Genomic DNA, 22170 nt, shown 5'->3' on the forward strand with positions numbered 1-22170 from the left:
GTTTTCTTTCACTTACTGGGATTATTTTAATTTTCTACCTCTCTACAGGAATCTGAATCATCTCCCCAACCCATAGGATTTTGGGTTCACTACACTGATGATATCTTTTTAGGATCTGGTGGCAAGAATCAACAAATACCCTAGATGCCTTGGTGTGACATACAATGTGCCAGATGGTGGGAAGTATTCCCCATGAAAATTTGGGCGCCTGCCACCATGGTGAAGTTTCTAAGTTGCCAGTGGTCTATGCCACATTAACTCATTCTCTACAAGGTGGAAGTTAAGTTGCTATACCTTACACACCCCTGCCATTGAGAAAAAGACCCTTTAGAGTCTGCAGGCAAAATGCATTCCCACCATTCCTACAGCCTGTACCTGTGATCTCATGGGAAGTTTTCTATAGCCAACTGTATGAGAAAGCTAAAAAAAATTAAGGCTGGTTTACACATTAAAAATAGATTTGCAACAAGTAACAACTACACAACTATAACATAACAACTCCACTCACTGGGGCCCTAGAAGACAGCAGGGGCAGAAACTTGGGCAGTGCACTTCAATGGTAGTGGAGATGACTAGACATATGGACACATACCCATGGATGAATGGATGGTGTCAGTAGATTTCCTGAACAGTCATACAACATGAAAGGAAACTGACTTGAGGAGTAGTGACAAGGAAGTCAGAGGAAGAGGTAAATGGGAAATCAGCAAAAGACCTCTCGGGTCGTTACTTAGTGCAAATATATTTGTATCTCACATATACACTGCCTTGGCACAGGGCATACACTGCAGAGGAGTCTAAATAATCACATTGACAAGGTGACCTGCTCTGTGGATGTTGGAAGTCAGGCTGCCTTAATGCTTTTTGTTTTTAGAGACAGGGTCTTGCTCTGGTGCTCAGGTTGGAGTGCAGTGGCATGATTACATCTCAGTGCAGCCTCAAACTCCTGGGCTCAAGCAATCCTCCTACCTCTGCATCCTGAGTAGCTAGGACTATAGGGGCAAGTGCCACCATGCCTGGCCTTTTGTTTTTTTTAAGTTTTTTGTAGAAACGGGATCTTGTCATGTTGCCCAGGCTGGTCTTGAACTCCTGTCCTCAAGCAGTCCTCCCATCTCAGCCTCCCAAAGTACTGGATTATGGGCATGAGCCACCATGCCTGGTCAATTATCAGTCCTTTTTAACAACCACCCCACTGTTTGCCCAATAAATTCAAGAACGAGTTGTTCAATGCAGCTTAAATGGAAATTAGGCAAGAGTTAAACCATATGAGTGTAACCCTTTTCAAGGCTAACCTGGCCAGGAAAGTTGCTAAGTAATGAGTTTGCCAAGAGCTGAAATGAAAGCTGAGTCGCCAATATGGTACCATTCTCCGGGACATCTGGTGGCAAACTGATTACATTGGATTTTTATGTCATACTAAGGGTACCAATTTGAAATCACTGAAATAGACACCGTGGGTATGGATTTTCCTTCCCAGTCCCATAATATTCTGTCAGAAACATCGTCCTTGGATTCACTGAATGCCTTACTCATTATCTGTATTTGTCTGTTCTCACACTGCTATAAAGAACTACCTGAGATTGGGTAATTTATGAAGAAGAGAGGTTTATTTGACTCACAGTTCTGCAGGTTGTACAGGAAGCATGGCTGGGAGGCCTTAGGAAACTTGTAATTACGGCAGAAGGTAAAGGGGAAGCAAGCATGTTTTACCATGGTGGAGCAGGAGAGAGAGCAAAGGGATAAGTGCTACACACTTTTTTTGAGACAGGGTCTTGCTCTGTCCCTCAGGTTGGAGTGTAGGGTTGCGATCTTAGCTCACTGCAACCTCTGCCTCCTGGGCTGAACCAATGCTCCCACCTCAGCCTCCCCAGAAGCTGGCACTACAGGCAGGCACCACTACACCCAGTTAATTTTTGTAGAGATGGGGTTTTGCCATGTTGCCCTGGCTGGTTTCAAACTCCTGGGCTCAAGCAATCTGCCCGCCTTGGCCTCCCAAAGTGCTGAGATTACAGGCATAAGCCACTGCGCCCACCCATGCTACACACTTTTAAACAACCAGATCTTGTGAAAACTCATTATCATGAAAACTAGAAGGGAGAAATATGCCCCCATGATCTAATCACCTCCCACTACGTCCCTCCCTCAACACTGAAATTATAACATGAGTTTTGGGTGGGGACACAGAGTCAAACCATATCACTGTCATTGGATCCCAAATATTGTTTCTGACCAAGGAACTCATTTGCTGTGAGATTAGTGAGAGGATAAACTAACACTATGAGATTCACTGGTTTTACAAGGTACTCTATCACCTTGAGGTACAGTGAGAACACATAGGTCTGGAACCAGTGGAAGAAATAATAGTGGTTTGTTTTACTCTTAGTATCCTAATTCCTGTTCTAACAACTTTGGACTCTTGTTCCTAATGGAGGAATTATTCTACCATGGCATAAAACTAAATGTCTATGCAACTAGAAGTTGAGATTGCCATCATAATATGTCATATAAAGGAACTAACAGGCAAATCAGGGGTGTACTGAACAGTTTGGGGTAAATGATCCTGATTATTAAGGGAAAAGAAGGTCACTGCTACACAGTCGGTGGAATGTGGAAAACTCTTACTGCTTCCATCTACCATGGGAGAAATTAAGAGACAACTCTAGCAACTGAATGCAGATAGGATCACCAAAATTTAGGGCACTCCACCAAGGAAAAAACCATAGCACCTTAGGTGCCAGCTGAGGACATAGAATAATCACCAGAAAGGGAAGTTCTTAATATTAATTATTGCTTTATATCTAGAGGCAGAAATTACTATAGTACTCAGGCATGCTTTCTTGCTTGATTTGCTGTGAATATATTTGTGTATATTAACCTATGTAATTTTTGATATCAAGTATTTTAGTGGTGGATAACCTGATAGTTTAGCGTTTAGGTTAAAGTTTATCAAAAAGGATTGTTACCAAACTGAAATTTTACTAATTTGGGTAAAATAACTGATAGAATTTGTGATCTTTTCTTTGTATTGAGAGAGTAAATTTCTTTTGAATAAGAAATAATTCCAATATGTTAGGTTTTAGACTGTTGCTATTTTTTTTTTTTGGTGTTTGTATGTTTAAATATAGATAGAAAGATTTATATGGATGCTAAATGGCCAGATGACTGACTGCTGCATATTATTTCTTTGAGAGAAGCCAACATGCACCCTTATTTCTTTTTCTGGTTGTCCTCAAATCACAGTGACTAGAAGCCTAGAAAATACATTACCCAGAATCCTTTGCCAGCAGGTTTCCTGGTTAGAGTTCACCAAGCAGAGGTTACAAAGCCTGAAAGGTAAACGAAAAGTGGAAACCATTATTCTTTATTCAGTGGGGAGATGTCTTGGGCTTCAACAGATGTGATGCTTTGCAGCTCCTCCGGATCCCCTGGAAATTGTTCACCAGGTGCTATGGTGAGCTAAGATCCATGGTGAAGGGCTTCCTGTGATTCCTGAAACTTCCTAATCCTCTCACGGCTGGTGATGAAACTGAGTGTTCTTTATGATCGAGTAATAGCGAGTGTTCTTTATGATTGCTGCTCCTCCAGCCCTTTCTATGCATTTTTAAATCACTAAGTTCACTGTATTAAATTTATGCTTGCTTTAAATATCAGAGAGTTAAAAACAATTTTTTTCTAATAGAACCCTGACTAACACCATGACATTGCTCAAATGAATCCTGAAAATTTTAGATTTGGCAACACAATTTGATTTAGCCTGCACTTTTTCAAAAAATTGACAGGTCGACTCTTTTTTTTTTTTTAATTATACTTTTAGGGTACATGTACACAACGTGCAGGTTTGTTACATACGTATACATGTGCCATGTTGGTGCGCTGCACCCACTAACTTGTCATTTCTATTAGGTATATCTCCTAATGCTATCCCTCCCCTGTCCCCCCACCTCACAACAGGCCCCAGTGTGTGATGTTCCCCTTCCTGTGTCCAAGTGTTCTCGTTGTTCAGTTCCCACCTATGAGTGAGAACATGCGCTGTTTGTTTTTTTGTCCTTGAGATAGTTTGCTGAGAATGATGGTTGACTCTTAACACACTGAGCGAAATCCTTAAACAGGCTTTACAGGATGGGAAATGAGAGAATATGATTGATCATTGAGGAAAATGTAAAATCTATGACACAGTGCATATAGGATGGTGCTTACCTAAGATTATAATGGAATAGAAAAATTCCTATTGCCTACCACATCGTAACCATCCTAAGGTTGTGACACAACCTATTACCTTTCTATATTTAGATATACAAATATGTATCATTGTGTTACAATTGTCTACAGTATTCAGTATAGTCATATACTGTACAGGTTCACAGCCTAGGAGCCATAGGCTATATACCATATGCCCTCAATGTGTAGTAGGCCATATCATATAGGTTTGTGAAACTACTACACTCCATGATGTTTGCACAGGCAATGCCTAATGATGCTTTTCTCAAGATGTATCCCTGTCGTTGTCACGCTGTATTTTGAAATAACATTTCTTGAGTGCTTAGCTTGTGTTAGACTTTGTTCTGAGAACTTTACATGCATTAGTTTATTTGATCCTGACAACAAACCAGTGAGGGAGGCATTAGTATTACTCTTACTTCATGGATATAAAAACAAAGGTTTAGAGGGGAACTTGTCTGAAATAGCATAGCTTGAAAATGGTGGAAACTACATTCATATCCAGGCATTCTCACTCCACAGACCTTACTCTTAAGTACTGTAATGTGCTGCTTTGTAATACAATTTTAAAAGGTCAATTCAAAGATACACAATCAATAAAAGTGATTAAAATGAATAATGCAGATGAACATAGGTCTTATATAAATCAAAATGTTTTCCGAGGCTTACTGTGTGACATGAATATGCTTCTTTTTGTCTCTTATCTTTTTGTGCACTCTTATTTCAACCACTGTTCTGGTTTTGTCTGTCTGCTAAAAAATAGTGATGATGGTTATGTTAATAACTAATATTTATTGAGCAGATATTCGTCAGGCACTGTACTAAACACTTCACATATATATTTCATCCATTCTTCACAATAATTGCACTCTTGGCTACACTTTACAGCCTGGAAAGTTGAGGCTTAGGTGATTAGGTGATTTGTCCATGCAGAAGACAATATAAAATCATAACCCCACCTCCTTGGTGCAGGCCTGTCACTTACTCACCAGGTGACTGCATTTAGGAAGCTGCCAGTCTGAAGAAAATACATTCATGTTCCTTGGAAAAAGCCCTGATCTCAGAAGGCGTTGATGAAATTCAAATTTAAGCTTCTCTCTCCTTTCTTCTCTCTATAAATACCTTTGTGAAAACAAGCTCATGCCCAGGACCTAAATTAAACTAAAGTGTCAAAGGAAACGAGGCCAGTAGCCTACAAGAAAATCTAGTTTCTGCTTTGTGACTAGTGGATTTTTATAGGACTCTATGCTTCTTGAGAAGAACTCTGGTTTATTTCCTGCAGTTTAAAACTTTTAATCTCTTAGTTTAAAAGAAGATAAAACTAACTGGGAAAAGCCGATGCTGCATACATGTAAGGCAGAGTTTTGCAGGTAGCTTGATGTTTGAAGTAACCTGAAGGCATTTATTTGCCTTTTCATCACTATCTTTCCCAAGAGATACGAACACCTAATTGGAGCTGGTGAGGGGAGAAAGCCTGGACCTAAGCCCTTTGAGGTTTCAGGCTCCAGAACTCTAAGAGGAAAAGAGGATTAATAAAGCTTCTTATGTCAGCAGATTGACATACTACACATTACTCTGTGCTTCAATTTGATCTGCATTAAACACATCAGCTGGAGAACAGCCCTGTATCTGTTAGCTACCAGTCTTAGTGTGATCCAGATTCCATCTTTAGTACACTTCTGAAAATCCTGTTGCTTCTTTCAGAGGCAGTTATCTGCCAGGTGCTTTGTTATGCGTTCTCATAACACCCTATTAAACTTTGTGGCACTTACCACATTTGTTATATATTTGTAAAACTATCCATTTTATATTTGTCTTCCTCCTTTGCCTAGAGATTATGTTATATTGTAGATTAGAGAAGTTGACTTTGTTGTAATTGTAAACTAACAATCAAAGGCTGTAAGCTACAAGGTAAAAAAAAAGGACGAGGAGGGAACACTTTTTAAAGAAGGCAAATCAATAAATGAAGCTTAATGTTTTAGAACTTCAGTGGATACAAGTATGAGCAGAAAAATATAAAAATATCCTCAGGTTTAGGGAAGGCTTTGTCAATAATTCTAATTCTACTGACACACGATTATATGGTGTGGGAGCTGTTAAGCCATTGGGTTGAAACAAATTTAATTTGGAGACATTTGCTCCATTTAGATTGTTATGGTGTAAAGAATCAAAAATTTTAAGCTTGGAAGAAATTTAAATAATAGTCAAATATTTTAATTTTACAGGTGAAGAAGGTAGGTGCTCAAAGTCATACAATTATTAGTTTAAAAGCTGAAATTAAAAGTAGACATATTATCAACATCAGTACCCTTTCCAATAAATGGAAGAAATTACTAAGTTTTAAAAATTTACATCAGCCAGTCAATGCCCTCTCTTATAAGCAATAGAAATAGACTGTGGTTTCTTTTAATAGAAATAAAATTTACAGAATCATTTTAGGAACTTGTGAAATAAAATCCCTATCAACTAGGCTTTAATTGACTTAACCAAGTGGCAGACTTGGGTCAAAACTCCACCAACTTTCTAACTGCAGTAAACTCCCATTCTTACTGGTGATTGCAATGGCAGTGTGGGAAATGGGAATTAACATTGGCTCAGTGTACCAATTCCTTTAAAGGTCTGAGCAAATCCCTTTCTCCTATTACATCCTATCATAGGATGTAAAATCTGTCATCAATAATTTTATATTGCTTATATGTTGAAATTATAATGATTTGGGTACATTTCATCCAATAAAATATAAAAGATAATTTTATTTGCTTACTTTTACTTTGTGGCTATTAGAAAATTTAAAATTGCAAGCAAGGCACATATTTGCAGCTCACATTGTTTCTATTAACAGCCTTCGCCAAGGCACAGTAATGTGGGTAACTGGTAAGTCACTCTAGAAGAGCCAATAATTAGACCCAAAATTTGAGGTAACACACGGAATCATGAATCTCTGGGAGGTGTGTTTATATTGATACCTTCAGCCCAATTTTAAATAATATTACTTCCTCCTTTGTTACATACTTTCAGAATTTATTTCCATTAATATTTCCACACATTTGCAGACATAAGAACCAAAGTTCTGAAATTCTTTGAGCCTGTGAGTCTATAATTTTGAAACCATGTTGATAATGGCTTCAGCAGGAAGTATGGAAACAATGAAAGATGTGCCGTCGTTGGATATGAAAGATACTGTCTTAATTTCCCAGATAACACTCATGTAAGGAAGTTGCAGTATTTTAAGTAAATGGGAAGGAGTTTCCTTGTCTGGCAATAGAAGGTTAGTGGGATTGAGGAATGAGGGTATTTCAAGTCTTCCAGAACCTCTCTCATTTACCCGTCTCTTTTGTGTCCTCACTCTTTCTCAGTCAATGCCGTATATCTCATGTAAGAGAATTAGCAAGACCATGATTTCAGTGATATTATAATTTGGCAATCAAATTTTGGTATTTGGCTAGTTCAGTACCAATGCTGTAAGAGAAATATTTTGTTTTTTTTAAGTTTTAATTTTTAGTTTTTAAGTACATTAATAAAAAATACCAGAGTTTCAGACTGGCCCTCACGTTGATGGTTTAGGGAAGTACTGTTAATAGAAACAATATGAGCTGTGAATATGTGCCTTACATGCAATTTTAAATTTTCTAGTAGCCACAAAGTAAAAGTAAACAAATAAAACTATATTTTATATTTTATTTAATGAAATGTACCCAAAATATAATTTCAACATATAAGCAATATAAAATTATTAATGACAGACTTACATGTTATTATACTTAAGCACCAAGTCTTCAATATCACTGGTATATTTAGCCATGTGGGACTAGAGGGTAGGACAGCATGGGTTTCATTCTCTTTCTCTCTAAGCTTTCTGTTATGACTATAAATAGCCACCTGTCTTACAGTCTTGAATTCCTCCTGCATTGTATACCTTAGTTGCTAATTGCTAGATTTCCAACTGTTGATAGTTACAGGAGATTTTTATTTCCCTTCAGTACTTTTTAGGCAAGAATCCTCATTTCTCTATCTACTGCCTACAGTCTATTCCCAAATACCAATTTCTTCACCAGAGTTTCTGTAGTAAGCAGCAAAGCCAACTCTTGAGAAGTTAAGCAGAAATTGTTTTCTGGATGAATAATGATTAGTTCAGAAATTCACAGGAAAGCTAAAGATTCAGTCTGAGAAAATAAGCATGCACCAAAAGGTTAGGCATCAATGAACACAACCAAGGTCGTGCTAAGGATACCATTCTTGGCACCTCTGCAAGACTCTCTCAATATTGCTATGCTAGAGTCGATTGGACCTGCATCTTTGCATCACCACTTCAAAATTCAAAGTTGAAGCTGAAGCACTTCACTGGTCAAGCATCATGATCTGGCAGCCAAGAGAGTCATGGAGATGAGATATCTAGATGCTTCCATTTCTGTACTAAGAGGTAGAATTTTCTCATTACTTAAATCAGGGGAATTCTTCCCAAATAAGATGGCTGGTAGGATATGAGATAGAAAAAGAAGTCACTCCACTATAAAATCACCCAAGAAATAAACATAGTAGAATAATTATTTCCTTGTTTAAGGCAAATAATTTATAGTGTCATTAATGTGCTCAATAAAAACTAGGGGCCTACTGACTTCTTTGAAGAGAGAGTTTATTCTTTTTTGTGATTCAAATTATATTGTCAAATATTTTAAATTTCAAAAAGTAGTATTTCTGGTTTAATAGGTCAAATTTTAAAAGTCATAATCTTTCCTAAAATAACAAGAGTTAACAGTTTGATGTGATTTTTTTCCCATTTGTGTGTGTGCGCGCACACACGTGTGTGCCAGAAGTGATATTTTAGAAGTTTCTCTACCTGAATTGTTTTGAAATGGAAACAAAAATCCATCTATTCTTTTTTTAAAACTGATACTATATTTATCTTAGAAGAGTCTATAGAAATATAATGATACTATACATCTAATGACAGTGACTGAGATTAAAAAATTTTTGTTTTTTTATTGTGGTAAAAACAATTAACATAAAATTTAACATCTTAACAAATTTTTTTATTATTATTATACTTTAAGTTTTAGGGTACATGTGCACAATGTGCAGGTTAGTTACATATGTATACATGTGCCATGCTGGTGTGCTGCACCCATTAACTCGTCATTTAGCATTAGGTATGTCTCCTAAAGCTATCCCTCCCCCCTCCCCACACCCCACAACAGTCCCCAGAGTGTGATGTTCCCCTTCCTGTGTCCATGTGTTCTCATTGTTCAATTCCCACCTATGAGTGAGAATATGTGGTGTTTGGTTTTTTGTTCTTGTGATAGTTTATTGAGAATGATGATTTCCAATTTCATCCATGTCCCTACAAAGGACATGAACTCATCATTTTTTATGGCTGCATAGTATTCCATGGTGTATATGGGTCACATTTTCTTAATCCAGTCTATCATTGTTGGACATTTGGGTTGGTTCCAAGTCTTTGCTATTGTGAATAGTGCTGCAATAAACATACGTGTGCATGTGTCTTTATAGCAGCATGATTCATGGTCCTTTGGGTATATACCCAGTAATGGGATGGCTGGGTCAAATGGTATTTCTAGTTCTAGATCCCTGAGGAATCGCCACACTGTCTTCCACAAGGGTTGAACTAGTTTACAGTCCCACCAACAGTGTAAAAGTGTTCCTATTTCTCCACATCCTCTCCAGCACCTGTTGTTTAGAAAAAGAGGGAATCCTCCCTAACTCATTTTATGAGGCCAGCATCATCCTGATACCAAAGCTGGGCAGAGACACAACCAAAAAAGAGAATTTTAGACCAATATACTTGATGAACATTGATGCAAAAATCCTCAATAAAATACTGGCAAACCGAATCCAGCAGCACATCAAAAAGCTTATCCACTGTGATCAAGTAGGCTTCATCCCTGGGATGCCAGGCTGGTTCAATATATGCAAATCAATAAATGTAATCCAGCATATAAACAGAACCAAAGACAAAAAACACATGATTATCTCAATAGATGCAGAAAAGGCCTTTGACAAAATTCAACAACCTTCATGCTAAAAACTTTCAATAAATTAGGTATTGATGGGACATATCTCAAAATAATAAGAGCTATCTATGACAAACCCATAGCCAATATCGTACTGAATGGGCAAAAACTGGAAGCATTCCCTTTGAAAACTGGCACAAGACAGAGATGCCCTCTCTCACCACTCCTATTCAACATAGTGTTGGAAGTTCTGGTCAGCGCAATCAGGCAGGAGAAGGAAATAAAGGGTATTCAATTAGGAAAAGAGGAAGTCAAATTGTCCCTGTTTGCAGATGACATGATTATATATCTAGAAAAGCCCATCATCTCAGCCCAAAATCTCCTTAAGCTGAAAAGCAACTTCAGCAAAGTCTCAGGATACAAAATCAATGTACAAAAATCACAAGCATTTTTATACACAAATAACAGACAAACAGAGAGCCAAATCATGAGTGAACTCCCATTCACAATTGCTTCAAAGAGAATAAAATACCTAGGAATCCAACTTACAAGGGATGTGAAGGACCTCTTCAAGGAGAACTACAAACCACTGCTCAATGAAATAAAAGAGGATACAAACAAATGGAAGAACATTCCATGCTCATGGGTAGAAGAATCAATATCATGAAAATGGCCATACTGCCCAAGGTAATTTATAGATTCAATGCCATCCCCATCAAGCTACCAATGACTTTCTTCACAGAATTGGAAAAAACTACTTTAAAGTTCACATGGAACCAAAAAAGAGCCTACATCACCAAGTCAATCCTAAGCCAAAAGTACAAAGCTGGAAGCATCATGCTACCTGACTTCAAACTATACTACGAGGCTACAGTAAACAAAACAGCATGGTACTGGTACCAAAGCAGAGATATAGATCAATGGAACAGAACGGAGCCCTCAGAAATAACGCCGCATATCTACAACTATCTGATCTTTGACAAACCTGAGAAAAACAAGCAATGGGGAAAGGATTCCCTATTTAATAAATGGTGCTGGGAAAACTGGCTAGCCATATGTAGAAAGCTGAAACTGGATCCCTTCCTTACACCTTATACAAAAATTAATTCAAGATGGGATTAAAGACTTAAATGTTAGACCTAAAACCATAAAAACCCTAGAAGAAAACCTAGGCATTACCATTCAGGATATAGGCATGGGCAAGGACTTCATGTCTAAAACACCAAAAGCAATGGCAACAAAAGCCAAAATTGACAAATGGGATCTAATTAAACTCAAGAGCTTCTGCACAGCAAAAGAAACTACCATCAGAGTGAACAGGCAACCTACAAAATGGGAGAAAACTTTCGCAACCTACTCATCTGACAAAGGGCTAATATCTAGAATCTACGATGAACTCAAACAAGATTTACAAGAAAAAAACAAACAACCCCATCAAAAAGTGGGCGAAGGACATGAACAGACACTTCTCAAAAGAAGACATTTATGCAGCCAAAAAACACATGAAAAAATGCTCACCATCACTGGCCATCAGAGAAATGCAAATCAAAACCACAATGAGATACCATCTCACACCAGTTAGAATGGCCACCATCTTAACAAAGTTTTAAGTGCACAACATTGTTAGCTAGATGGATGATGTTGTACAGAGATTCTCTAATTTTGATGTTGCCAGTCTTAAAGTCCCCAAGAAAAGGAATCGTTCAGTTCTTAGAACTGCTTAAACTGTAAATTAACATTTGTGTTAATGTCAATGTCACTCTGCTTGGATTTAAAACACATTTTTTATTGCCATTTGTCATGTCATCATTTCAAAGGTTAGAAAAAATGATTTATACTATACTGCAATCTTTCCCATTTCCATTTTCTCTATGTAATGAAATGTGAAAATGGCAAGACAGTTTAAATGAACTCTGTGGGATCAAGGGACTGTGTAGAACCTTGTCACAACCAACCAATAGAGCCTCTTAATCAAGAGGAGTGTATGCAGGACACAACACAGCTGAATTTCAATCCAGGAGCTGGCAGACACAGAGCAACGGAGAACTAAGGAAATTTAAAAATGAGTTGTAATCTAATTTTGATTGACTCTAAATGGAGATTGACACAAGGAAAATCAGGTGCTGACTGTTCCAGGTTGCCATCTATTATTTCTGAGAAAACTCAGAAATTATAATGTATTATTTCTGAGAAAACTCAGAAATAATAGATGGCAACCTGAAACAGTCAGGTTTTAGGCTAATCAAAAACATTTATTAAAGCTAACAGAGTTTTTGATTAGGACAATATTCTAGTCATAATGTAAAGGTAAGCCTAACTTTACAAAAAAATCAGCTATGATTTCATTTGTTCTATTTCCTCCTCCATACATTATAATTAACATTTGTATTAAGTGCCTACTATGAACACATACTGAACACCTAATATGAAGCCATATACCTACATGATTAATTCAACTTCCGTATAATGATTTGAAATGCCAGTTTTGTAAATGTGTCCCAGCTGATTATATTGGAAGCAATTTGATGTAATCAGCCAGCTAAGTGACTTATCTCCACCTGGCATATTGCTACTTTCTTCACGCTGCATCAGTCACTAGTGCCAAAATGAGCTATGACTCCAGCTGCTCTGGCAATGATGCCCATACCTACTCAGTTATAGAGCACTTTGCTTCATTAGACACTGAGGAGCACTTTAAATAGTACAGCAACCAACTATATTTAGGGTCTTTATTTCCCAGAGTATTATACATGCCAAAAGATAAGGGGGGAAATCAATAGAGACAGACTGCCTTATATTTTTCCTGCAGAGTATTCTTGGCAATGAGAAGCAAGTCACCATGAGGATGACTGAATGAGATACCAGAGCTCAGGGTAAACAGAAGCAACCTATTACTAGCACATCCGATTTTGTTTTCTAGCTTCTAGCATATTTCTACTCGTTACAGCACATGTTCACCTCATCATTTCACTGATCGTTTAATATCTGCCCTGTGAACATGAATCCCGAGTACTAAGAACTTCATTCGTATTTTCTGTTTCAAGATTCTGCTAAATAGTATGCTCTACACAACTGCATACATATTATGAGGGAGTCCAGAAACTCATATAAACTTACTTTTGTTGGCAAATCATGTTAAGTGCTCTTGAAGCTTACCTGAAAATGTATATATACCTTCTTCTATAATGTCCACTTCATTTTAGGATTTAAAAAAAGATTATTCAACAAATATTTACTGAGAACCTATTACATTCCAGAAATTCTTCTAGTATCAGTGGTTAGAGCATGAACAAAGTTATATAATATCTCTTATATGAAATTTACATCCAAGTGGGGTGAGGCAGAAAACCAACAAAATATAAAACATGAGATGGTGATAAGTGCTATGGGCCAAAATAAATCATGCTAGTGGGTAGCGTATATTGGAGGTATACTGTTAAACAAGATGGCCAGGGAAGGTCTTGCCAAAAAGGTAACATTTAAACAAAGACCTGAAAGGAGAGAAGGATCAAACTTTTTATATACACAATCAAGTCATTAATATGAAAATAGATGACTGGGTTTATGTGACTGGAGGTGAGCTACATAAAAATGCATTAATGTAGGCATCATGTACATTATTAATTCAATAACCTCTGGGGTAGTTCTTTTGACAGAAATAATTAGCTTACTCTTAGAAGCAGATTCCACATGGTGCCTGTAAACTATTAATCAAGTAATAATGGGAGGTTAGAATAAAAACTGTGAAATATGGTGTGTTCAAACTTTTAACCAAACTATAGTGTTGGAACTTAACCAAGCAGAAAGTAGCAACTTTTAGAAGTAATGATATATGATATATGATAGTTCAAAATATGCATGCAATATATATATATATGTGTGTGTATGTGTGTGTGTATATGTGTGTGTGTGTGTGTGTGTGTGTGTAGAGAGAGAGAGAGAGTGAGAGGAGAGAGAGACAGGGTGTCACTCTGTTGCCCAGGCAGGGGTATAGAGGCATGGTCATAGCTAGCTGTAACCTCAAACATCTGGTCTCAAGCAGTCTTCCCACCTCAGCCTCCCAAGTAGTTGGTACTACAGGTGTGCACGACCACACCTGACTAATTTTTATTATTATTATTATTTTTTACAGATAGGGTCTTGCTTGTTGTCCAGGCTGGATTCGAACTCCTGGCCTCAAGCAATCCTCCTGCCTTGGCCTCCCAAAGTGTTGGGATTACAGGTGTGAGCCACAGCACCAGGCCTGGAGGAGGTACTATGAAACCATGATGAATAAAAAGCTCACATGTAGAAAGCCACAGATTGAAAAAGAGTGGGTCTTCTGTATTGATCATCATTTAAAGCCTATTACCAAAAACATGAAAATTAGGAACTGGATAATACTTTTCATTGAGATATTTTTTAACTTGCATTGATAAATATTAGTATTATTCCTCATTTCCTTTTTAACTGGAAGGCTTTTATTTTATATTTGAAAGCTAAAGGAATATAAGAGTCAAATTTTGATTTGATCATACCATGCAAATTAATTGAATTAAACTTGTAAAATAAGTCACAGAATAGTTCATGAGGCTTATAAATAATTAATGAGTCTGGTTTAAAAAAAGGGAGAGACTAATTTAGTGATTTACTTTTCTAAATATTGAAGATATTAAAATAGATGGCTTGCTGCATTTTTCCTTGGATTCATTTTATTTTTTTCATTATCGTACAAAACGTCTTGTAATCCAGTTATCACTGTTGGTGATTCCCTAGATATAAACTCAATTTAACAATTAAATTTTTAATTACACAATGAATAGACATAGGATGCTTGAACACTGATTAACTTAAAAGTAGATTAGTTCATGAAAAAGTTTAATTTAACATTAACTTTAGTAGAGAGGAGATGCTACAGAAAGTATATTCATATATTTCAGTGAGCAGAGACTTTAGCAGAGAGAAAATATCCTTTCTGCCATAGCAGATTTAAATCACTATAAATATTTTACAATCTCAGTTTCCAAGAAAAAAACCAAAACATAGCAATGGCTTAGTTACTTATCTTCTCATTGCTCTCTCATAAAAAGCATCAAGGAAAATGGGAGTGGGGGATGCAGAGTTCACAAACTGTATCTTAGATACACCAAATGTTGTGTAAACTACCACAGAATAGAAAAATGGAAAATTGTTTTCTATAATCTTCAATGTTAAAATGCTTCTGAGTTCAAATAAAGATTCTCTTTCTCATTGATGCAAATCTGCTTAGGAGTATGTAGAATAAAAGAGCCCATGAAAGTGATTAAAAATCAATAAACTAATAACCTTTCATAATCACATAGAGTTATTCAATATTATTCACAGTAATTCAAGGATATATTGATCTTTTAAAATGTGATTATATCATCAATGCATTATGAAATAATATAACAAATTCAACAAATAACCAAAAGGCATAAAATAAAATTTAATACCTAGAATTGGTGAATGCGGATAAAAATTAGGCAAATGTGATATCACAGAAAGCTCAAGAAAGAAGGATTTCAATATCAGGTCGGTATTGGTATTATGAGTTGGAATATGATGAGAAATTTTTTAAAAAGCCACTTCATTCAGTAAGATGGAAATCACTATGATGTTGATTAATGGACTTTCATGGAATACTGGGAGCAGTGGAAGGAAAGAATGGGCAGTAGGAAGTCAATAAGTACAGACAATCTGGTGGAGTTTGACTATGAGGTCAACAACATAAATAATTAGATTGTGTGGCAAACAATCCAATTTCTTTAGGATCTACTTTTAAATAACAAATTTAAAAGATTGTGCACTAATGATTCTATTATTTATAAAATTTGTTATTTCTTTCTTTAATTCACCAGTAGCTGAGCAGCTACAAGGTAGAAAGCATTGTACCAAAGGATTCCAAGAAGATCTAAATTCCATTCTATCTATGAAGAGTTTGTATTCTAGTTCTGGAAATTAAAATAGTTAAAATAAAGAATAGAAGGTTTAGGGCTGCAATAATTTTTTGTCCTGACAAAAAAACACATAGCGGCAGTATATTTCCCATAATTATTTCTTGCAGGCCATAGTTTAAAGCTGATCCCAGCAAAATGCACACTAATGCTTTTTAAATTGTATTGTGTCTAGAATATAAAGGTAGGGATATTAAATATGTTATACCATGATAATGTGTAATGTCACTAAACAAAAGGCAATTATTTAAGCACTTTAGGCAGTAATAAAATGAAACTGTAAATCTTTCAAGAAAAATTGTTGCTTATTCAGAATTCCTGTTTACATATCACAAGTCTCATTCCTTTGGTAAATATCGACCTAGTTTTAGTAACATTTTTGGAGAGTACAAATAAATCAAAATCTTCAAACTTCAGAAAGAACAGAACTGGATTAGGAAAACAAAAATTGCAAAAGTAAAGTTGGAAAATTAAGTATTGATAGTTCAGATAAATTGGTGCAAAACTGTTAATTACAAATATAAATTTTTAAAAAAATTTTTGAGTACCGACCTTGTGTAAGTTACTATGACGTGAATTGGGAGAAATACATAAAGGAGTAATAACAGTCTGTCCAATCACATTTTATAATCTGAAGTCTCAAGCATTTCTTGTAGTGTGGATCTCTGGGATGAATTATCTCAGTTTTGGCTTATCTGAAAAAATGACTTTATCATTATCATTGAAGAATATTTTTGGCAGACATAGAATTCTGATTTCTTTTAGCACATTAAAGATGTAATTCCATTTTCTTCATTTTTTGTTCTGATGAGAAACAAGTCCACACAATTCATACTGCTGTTCCCTTAAATGTAATATATATATTTTCCCTCTTGCTACTTGAGATACTCTCTTTATCTTTGATTTTCATTAGCAATTTGATTATGATGTCCCTAGATGTACTGTTTTTGTACTTATCTTATGTGGAGTTAGCTAAGTTTCTTGTTTTTCATCAAACTTGTGAAAATTTTGAAAAATTTATCCAATATTTATCTCTGCCCTATTCTTCTCTCTTTGTAGAACTCCATTCACCTGCATGTCAGACCACTTAGTTTATAAGACTATGCTTATTATTTTATAACCTTTTTCTCTTTCTTCAGATTGTAAAATTTCAGTTGATCTATGTTCAAGTTCACTGGCCCGTCTGTTACCTCCAGTCTGCTTTTAAGTTCATTGAAATATATTTATTATAGCATCTTTAAAAACTTTGTCTATTTCCAATATATTGGCCATTTCCAGTGATTTTCTATTGAATTTTAAAATTTATTGACAATGGGTCATATTTGGTTGCTTCTTTGAAGTCTAGCACCTTTTGTTGCATGTTAGACATTGTGAAGCAAAGTTGCAGAAACTGTGCATTTTGTTATCTTCCTATGAAAGTGTTTTTCTATTCTAACAAACAGTTAAATTACTAGTCACTCTCCTTGATTTTGTGGAGGTTTTGTTTAATAGTTTGTTATATTGTTTTAATATCTGAAATGTATTCTTTCAATGACTGATCTTTTGCTAAATCTAGCTGAAATATAGTGGGGACTGGCTATAAGGCAGAAAAAAACCACTCATGAATTGAAGAACTTTAAAAATGTACATTCAAACTGAGAGAGAAGGGAAGAAAGAAAGCCTGCAGCTGTTCCATTGCTCATAGGATTAAACACATTCTCCTGAGACTGAGATACATCACCCTTCGTATTCTCATGCCAGGGAATCTTAAACAGATTTCTCATCCCTGTTATATCCTGCTAATATCCAGGGGCAGAACCTAACTCATTGCAAGACTCAGAGCTTTTGCAATGCTGTTTTCTACACCAGGGATACTCTTGTAGCTAATGTCTTTCAAACACAGTTCATATTATTCCCTCATGAAACTCCATCTAATTCTATCAAATTAAATCTTACACCCTGAGATCTTTCACAATACTTTTTAAAAAATATCTTTATTACAGGTTTTAACTTACCTTATTAGTTCTGGAGTTCTTGGTGAGCATTAATTCATTTATTCAGCAACAACTATTGTGTGTACAATGTATCTGGCATTGGTCTGGGTTCTCAGAATGGAGGAGTGAAAACAATAGAAACAAATTCTGGCTGGGCACTGTGGCTTATGCCTGTAATTCAAGGTGTGATTGTGAGGCCGAGGTGGTGGAGGGGTGAGGTATCATTTGAGACCAGGTGTTCAAGATTAGCCTGATCAACATAGGTAGACCCCATCTCTCCAAAAAAAAAAAAAAAAAAAAAAAATAGCCAGACGTGTTGGCACGCATCTATAGTCCCAGTTCCAGTTACTAGGGAGGCTGAGGTGGAAGTATCGCTTGAGCTGGAGTTAGAGGCTGCAGTGAGCTATGATGGCAACACAGCACTCCTCCCTTGGTAACAGAGCCAGACCGTGTCTCCCCACCGCCAAAAAAAAAAAAAAAAAAAAAAGAAGGAATAATTTCTGTTCTCAGTCTGGTGGATCATGTAGGTAGATCTTTCCTTCAGGAGTACTAGCTAGTAGTTACAGCTTATGAGAATGGACTTTGGAATTAGATTGCATTGCTTGAAGCCCATCTCTACTGTTTTTGAGGTATGTATCCTTAAGCAAGTTACTTAGATTCTCTGTGTTCCATTTTCACCACTTGCTATCTGTGGGTAACATTTGGTAGGTTTTTTATGAGGATAAAATGAGTTAAAATGTGAAAAGCATTTAGAATGGTGCTTGGCATATTAAATCTCAATACATATTTGACATTATGAGTTTTGTCTCTCCCACACCTATATAATTTTTAAAACATAATAGGTAATAACTACCTACTGTTGGATGATTGAATAAATAAATGAATGAATATCTATGCTTCTGGATTAAAAAATACACAGCATATAGCAACATTTTATACTGCTTCTCTCTTTTCTATGTTTTATAACAGAAGCTCTGGCTAGGAGGTGTTATAAGTAGAAAATGGCTGAACTACCTTAATTTTATTTGTTAATGTAATAACCGAATTGACCCCTTCTTTACTGCTATGGTCATATTTGCTCATCTATTCTTTCAACAAAATTGTTTTTGTGCTCTTCCTCATTAAAAACAAAAATGTGACATTCCTTTACATCAGGAATTGACGTGCCAGATGAGAAAGTGATATATATTTAATTATATATAATAAAATCTAGTATACAAGGAGTACATGAGGGAATAGAATGAATCACACATTTAAAAGCATACATAAACTACTTTAGCATATATTAATTTAAATAATATGAAATTACCAACATTTTTGACTATTCAAATGGCAATTTGATACAGGTCAAAATAATAGACAATGAAAAATATATTCCATGTATCAGAATACTATGTCAGTTTAGAAGAGAGAAATCTTTCAACCAGGATGATCAAATAAGACTTTAGAAAAGGAGTCAATTAGAATAGATTTGAAGAAAAAGGTAGAGGCGGGGCAAGTGGTTGAAGGCAGTGATTCTCCAAATGTGGTTCCACAATTTTAAAGGAGCATAGGAAATAATGACCAGAAAACAGATAACCTGAAAAAATAATGGTCAGGTATTTTTGTTAAATAGTTATTTTCAAGGAAGATGGTGGAGAGAGGGTTCTCATGTTTGTATGCTGGATAACAACCTATCACAAAAGACTGCAGAATTCACACCTTGCACAAAGGCTGTTGCCATCTTACACAAGAAACACTTCTGCAAGGACATCTGCCCAGCAACTGCCTGTCCAACCTCTGACTGACATCACCTTTGTTACTGATTTTTGTAGCCAAAGATAATGATTTTAAAACAATTATGTAACCCTCTTCTTTTTTCCTTTAAAAACTTTTGTCTTTCTCTACCTCCCTGAAAACACACATAGTTTACTATGTGTATTCCATTGCAATGCTTTATTCCCCAATAAATATATTTTCTTTTTCAAAACAGTTATTTCATTTCATTTTCTTTATTTTTCCCACAGTATCTAACTCTCTGAAGTTGTAGGGATAAAAAGGAGAAAATAGCAGCTCAAGGCAAAGTATCTCCAACTAATGAAGTAAACATTCCTATAAATTAGGTTTTACAGACCTAATAGTAATTGCAAACATCTTAGTATGTGTTCTATGTGATAATATTTCCCACAGGAAAATTTTACTTAATATAACTTGTAAAAGTCCAAGTGACTAATCTGGTTTTTCAGTATTGTATTGCATAGCACTAAAATATTCTCTATTAAGTCAGCAAAATTAAATTTTATTTTCTTGATTTACTTAGACAATTCATTTAATGAAATGCAACAGCATACATTTTTTCAAAAAACTTTTATACTAACAAGGTTTTATTGATCAATAATGAAACAAGCACTGAAATCTAAAATAAGCAAAATACATAAACGTCTGTTCAATAAAGAAGAAAAAGCAACTGCTAATTAACTTGCTTAAAGCAATTTATTTTTATTTTTTATTTTGTTTATAATTTCAACTTTTATTTTAGATTCAGGGGGTACATGTGCAGGTTTGTGACATGGCTGTAATGCATCATGCTGAGGTTTCTGGTACAAATGATCTTGACACCCAGGTAGTGAGCATAGTACCTGACAGGTAGTTTTTCAGCCCTTAACCCCTCTCCTGCTCTCCCTACTACAGTAGTCCCCAGGATCTGTTTTTCCCATCTTTATGTCTATGTGTACCCAACATTTATATCCCACTTATAAGTGACAATATGTGGCATTTGGTTGTCTGTTCCTATGTTAATTTGCTTAGAGTGATGACCTGCAGCTGTGTTCATGTTGCTGCAAAGGATACAATTTTGTTCTTTATATGGCTGCATAGTATTCCATGGTGTATGTGTACCACATTTTCTTTATCCGAGTGCACGTTTATGGGCACCTAAGTTAATTCCATGTCTTTGCTATTGTGAATAGTGCTGCAATGAACATACAAATGCATGTCTTTTTGGTAGAATGATTTATTAATATTTTCCTTTGGGTATATACCCAGTAATGGGATTACTGTGTTGAATGGTAGTACAACTCTTAGTTCTCTGAGAAATCTCTAACTTCTTTCCATAGTGACTGATCTAATTTACATTCCCACCAACAGTATATAAATGTTTCATTTTCTCCACAACCTTGCCAGCATCTGTTCTTTTTAAAATAATAGCCATTCTGACTGGGGTGAGATGGTATCTCATTGTGATTTTGATTTGCTTTTCTCTGATCTCTGATGATTAGTGATGTTGACCATTTTTAAAATATTTTTGTTGGCTGCTTGTCTGTATTCTTTTGAGAAGTATCTTCAGGTCCTTTGTTCACTTTTTAATGGGATTGTCTTTTGCTTGTTAATTTAAGTTCCTTATAGATTCTGGATATTAGATTTTTGTCGCATGCATAGTTTACAAATATTTTCTTCCATTCTGTAGGTTATCTGTTTACTCTAACTACATACATTTCAAGGAATCAGCTCTTTGTTCAAAATACTTCATTTAACAGGAAAATAACAGAGCTTCAGGATGCTCAATACTTAAAGCACTGCATGAAGTTAAAAACAGTGTGAATTTAAAAGAATAACATGCAGTAAAATTTCATGCTTTAAAATACAAGAAATTTGAACACTAAAGATAGATTGCTGATATTTCTCACTTGAAGGCTTGGGTTTATGATTTTTTGAAATGGAAATTTCAAATGATGTGTATGTTATTTATGATAATGCCACTTAACTAAGGGAGAATTATTATTATATTTTCATATTAATTGGTATGCCTTTAATACTGATAGTTATTTTTGTACTTGAATATAATGTGAAAATAAGCAAAATACCTATTTATTTTTTCAAATAAATTTTATTATGTATATTTGGGATTGACATCATGATGTTATACAATATAAATAGTAAAATAGTTACTAGGGTATACTATATATATTAATATCTTTCATCTCATATAAGTACAAGTGCAGCTAAAATCGACTTATTTAACAAAAATTATTAATACTATACTATTTTATTAACTTTATCCTCATGTACATTTGATCT

This window comes from Homo sapiens, chromosome 12 (assembly GCF_000001405.40).
Source record: "Homo sapiens chromosome 12, GRCh38.p14 Primary Assembly".
Classification (NCBI taxonomy): Eukaryota; Metazoa; Chordata; class Mammalia; order Primates; family Hominidae; genus Homo; species Homo sapiens.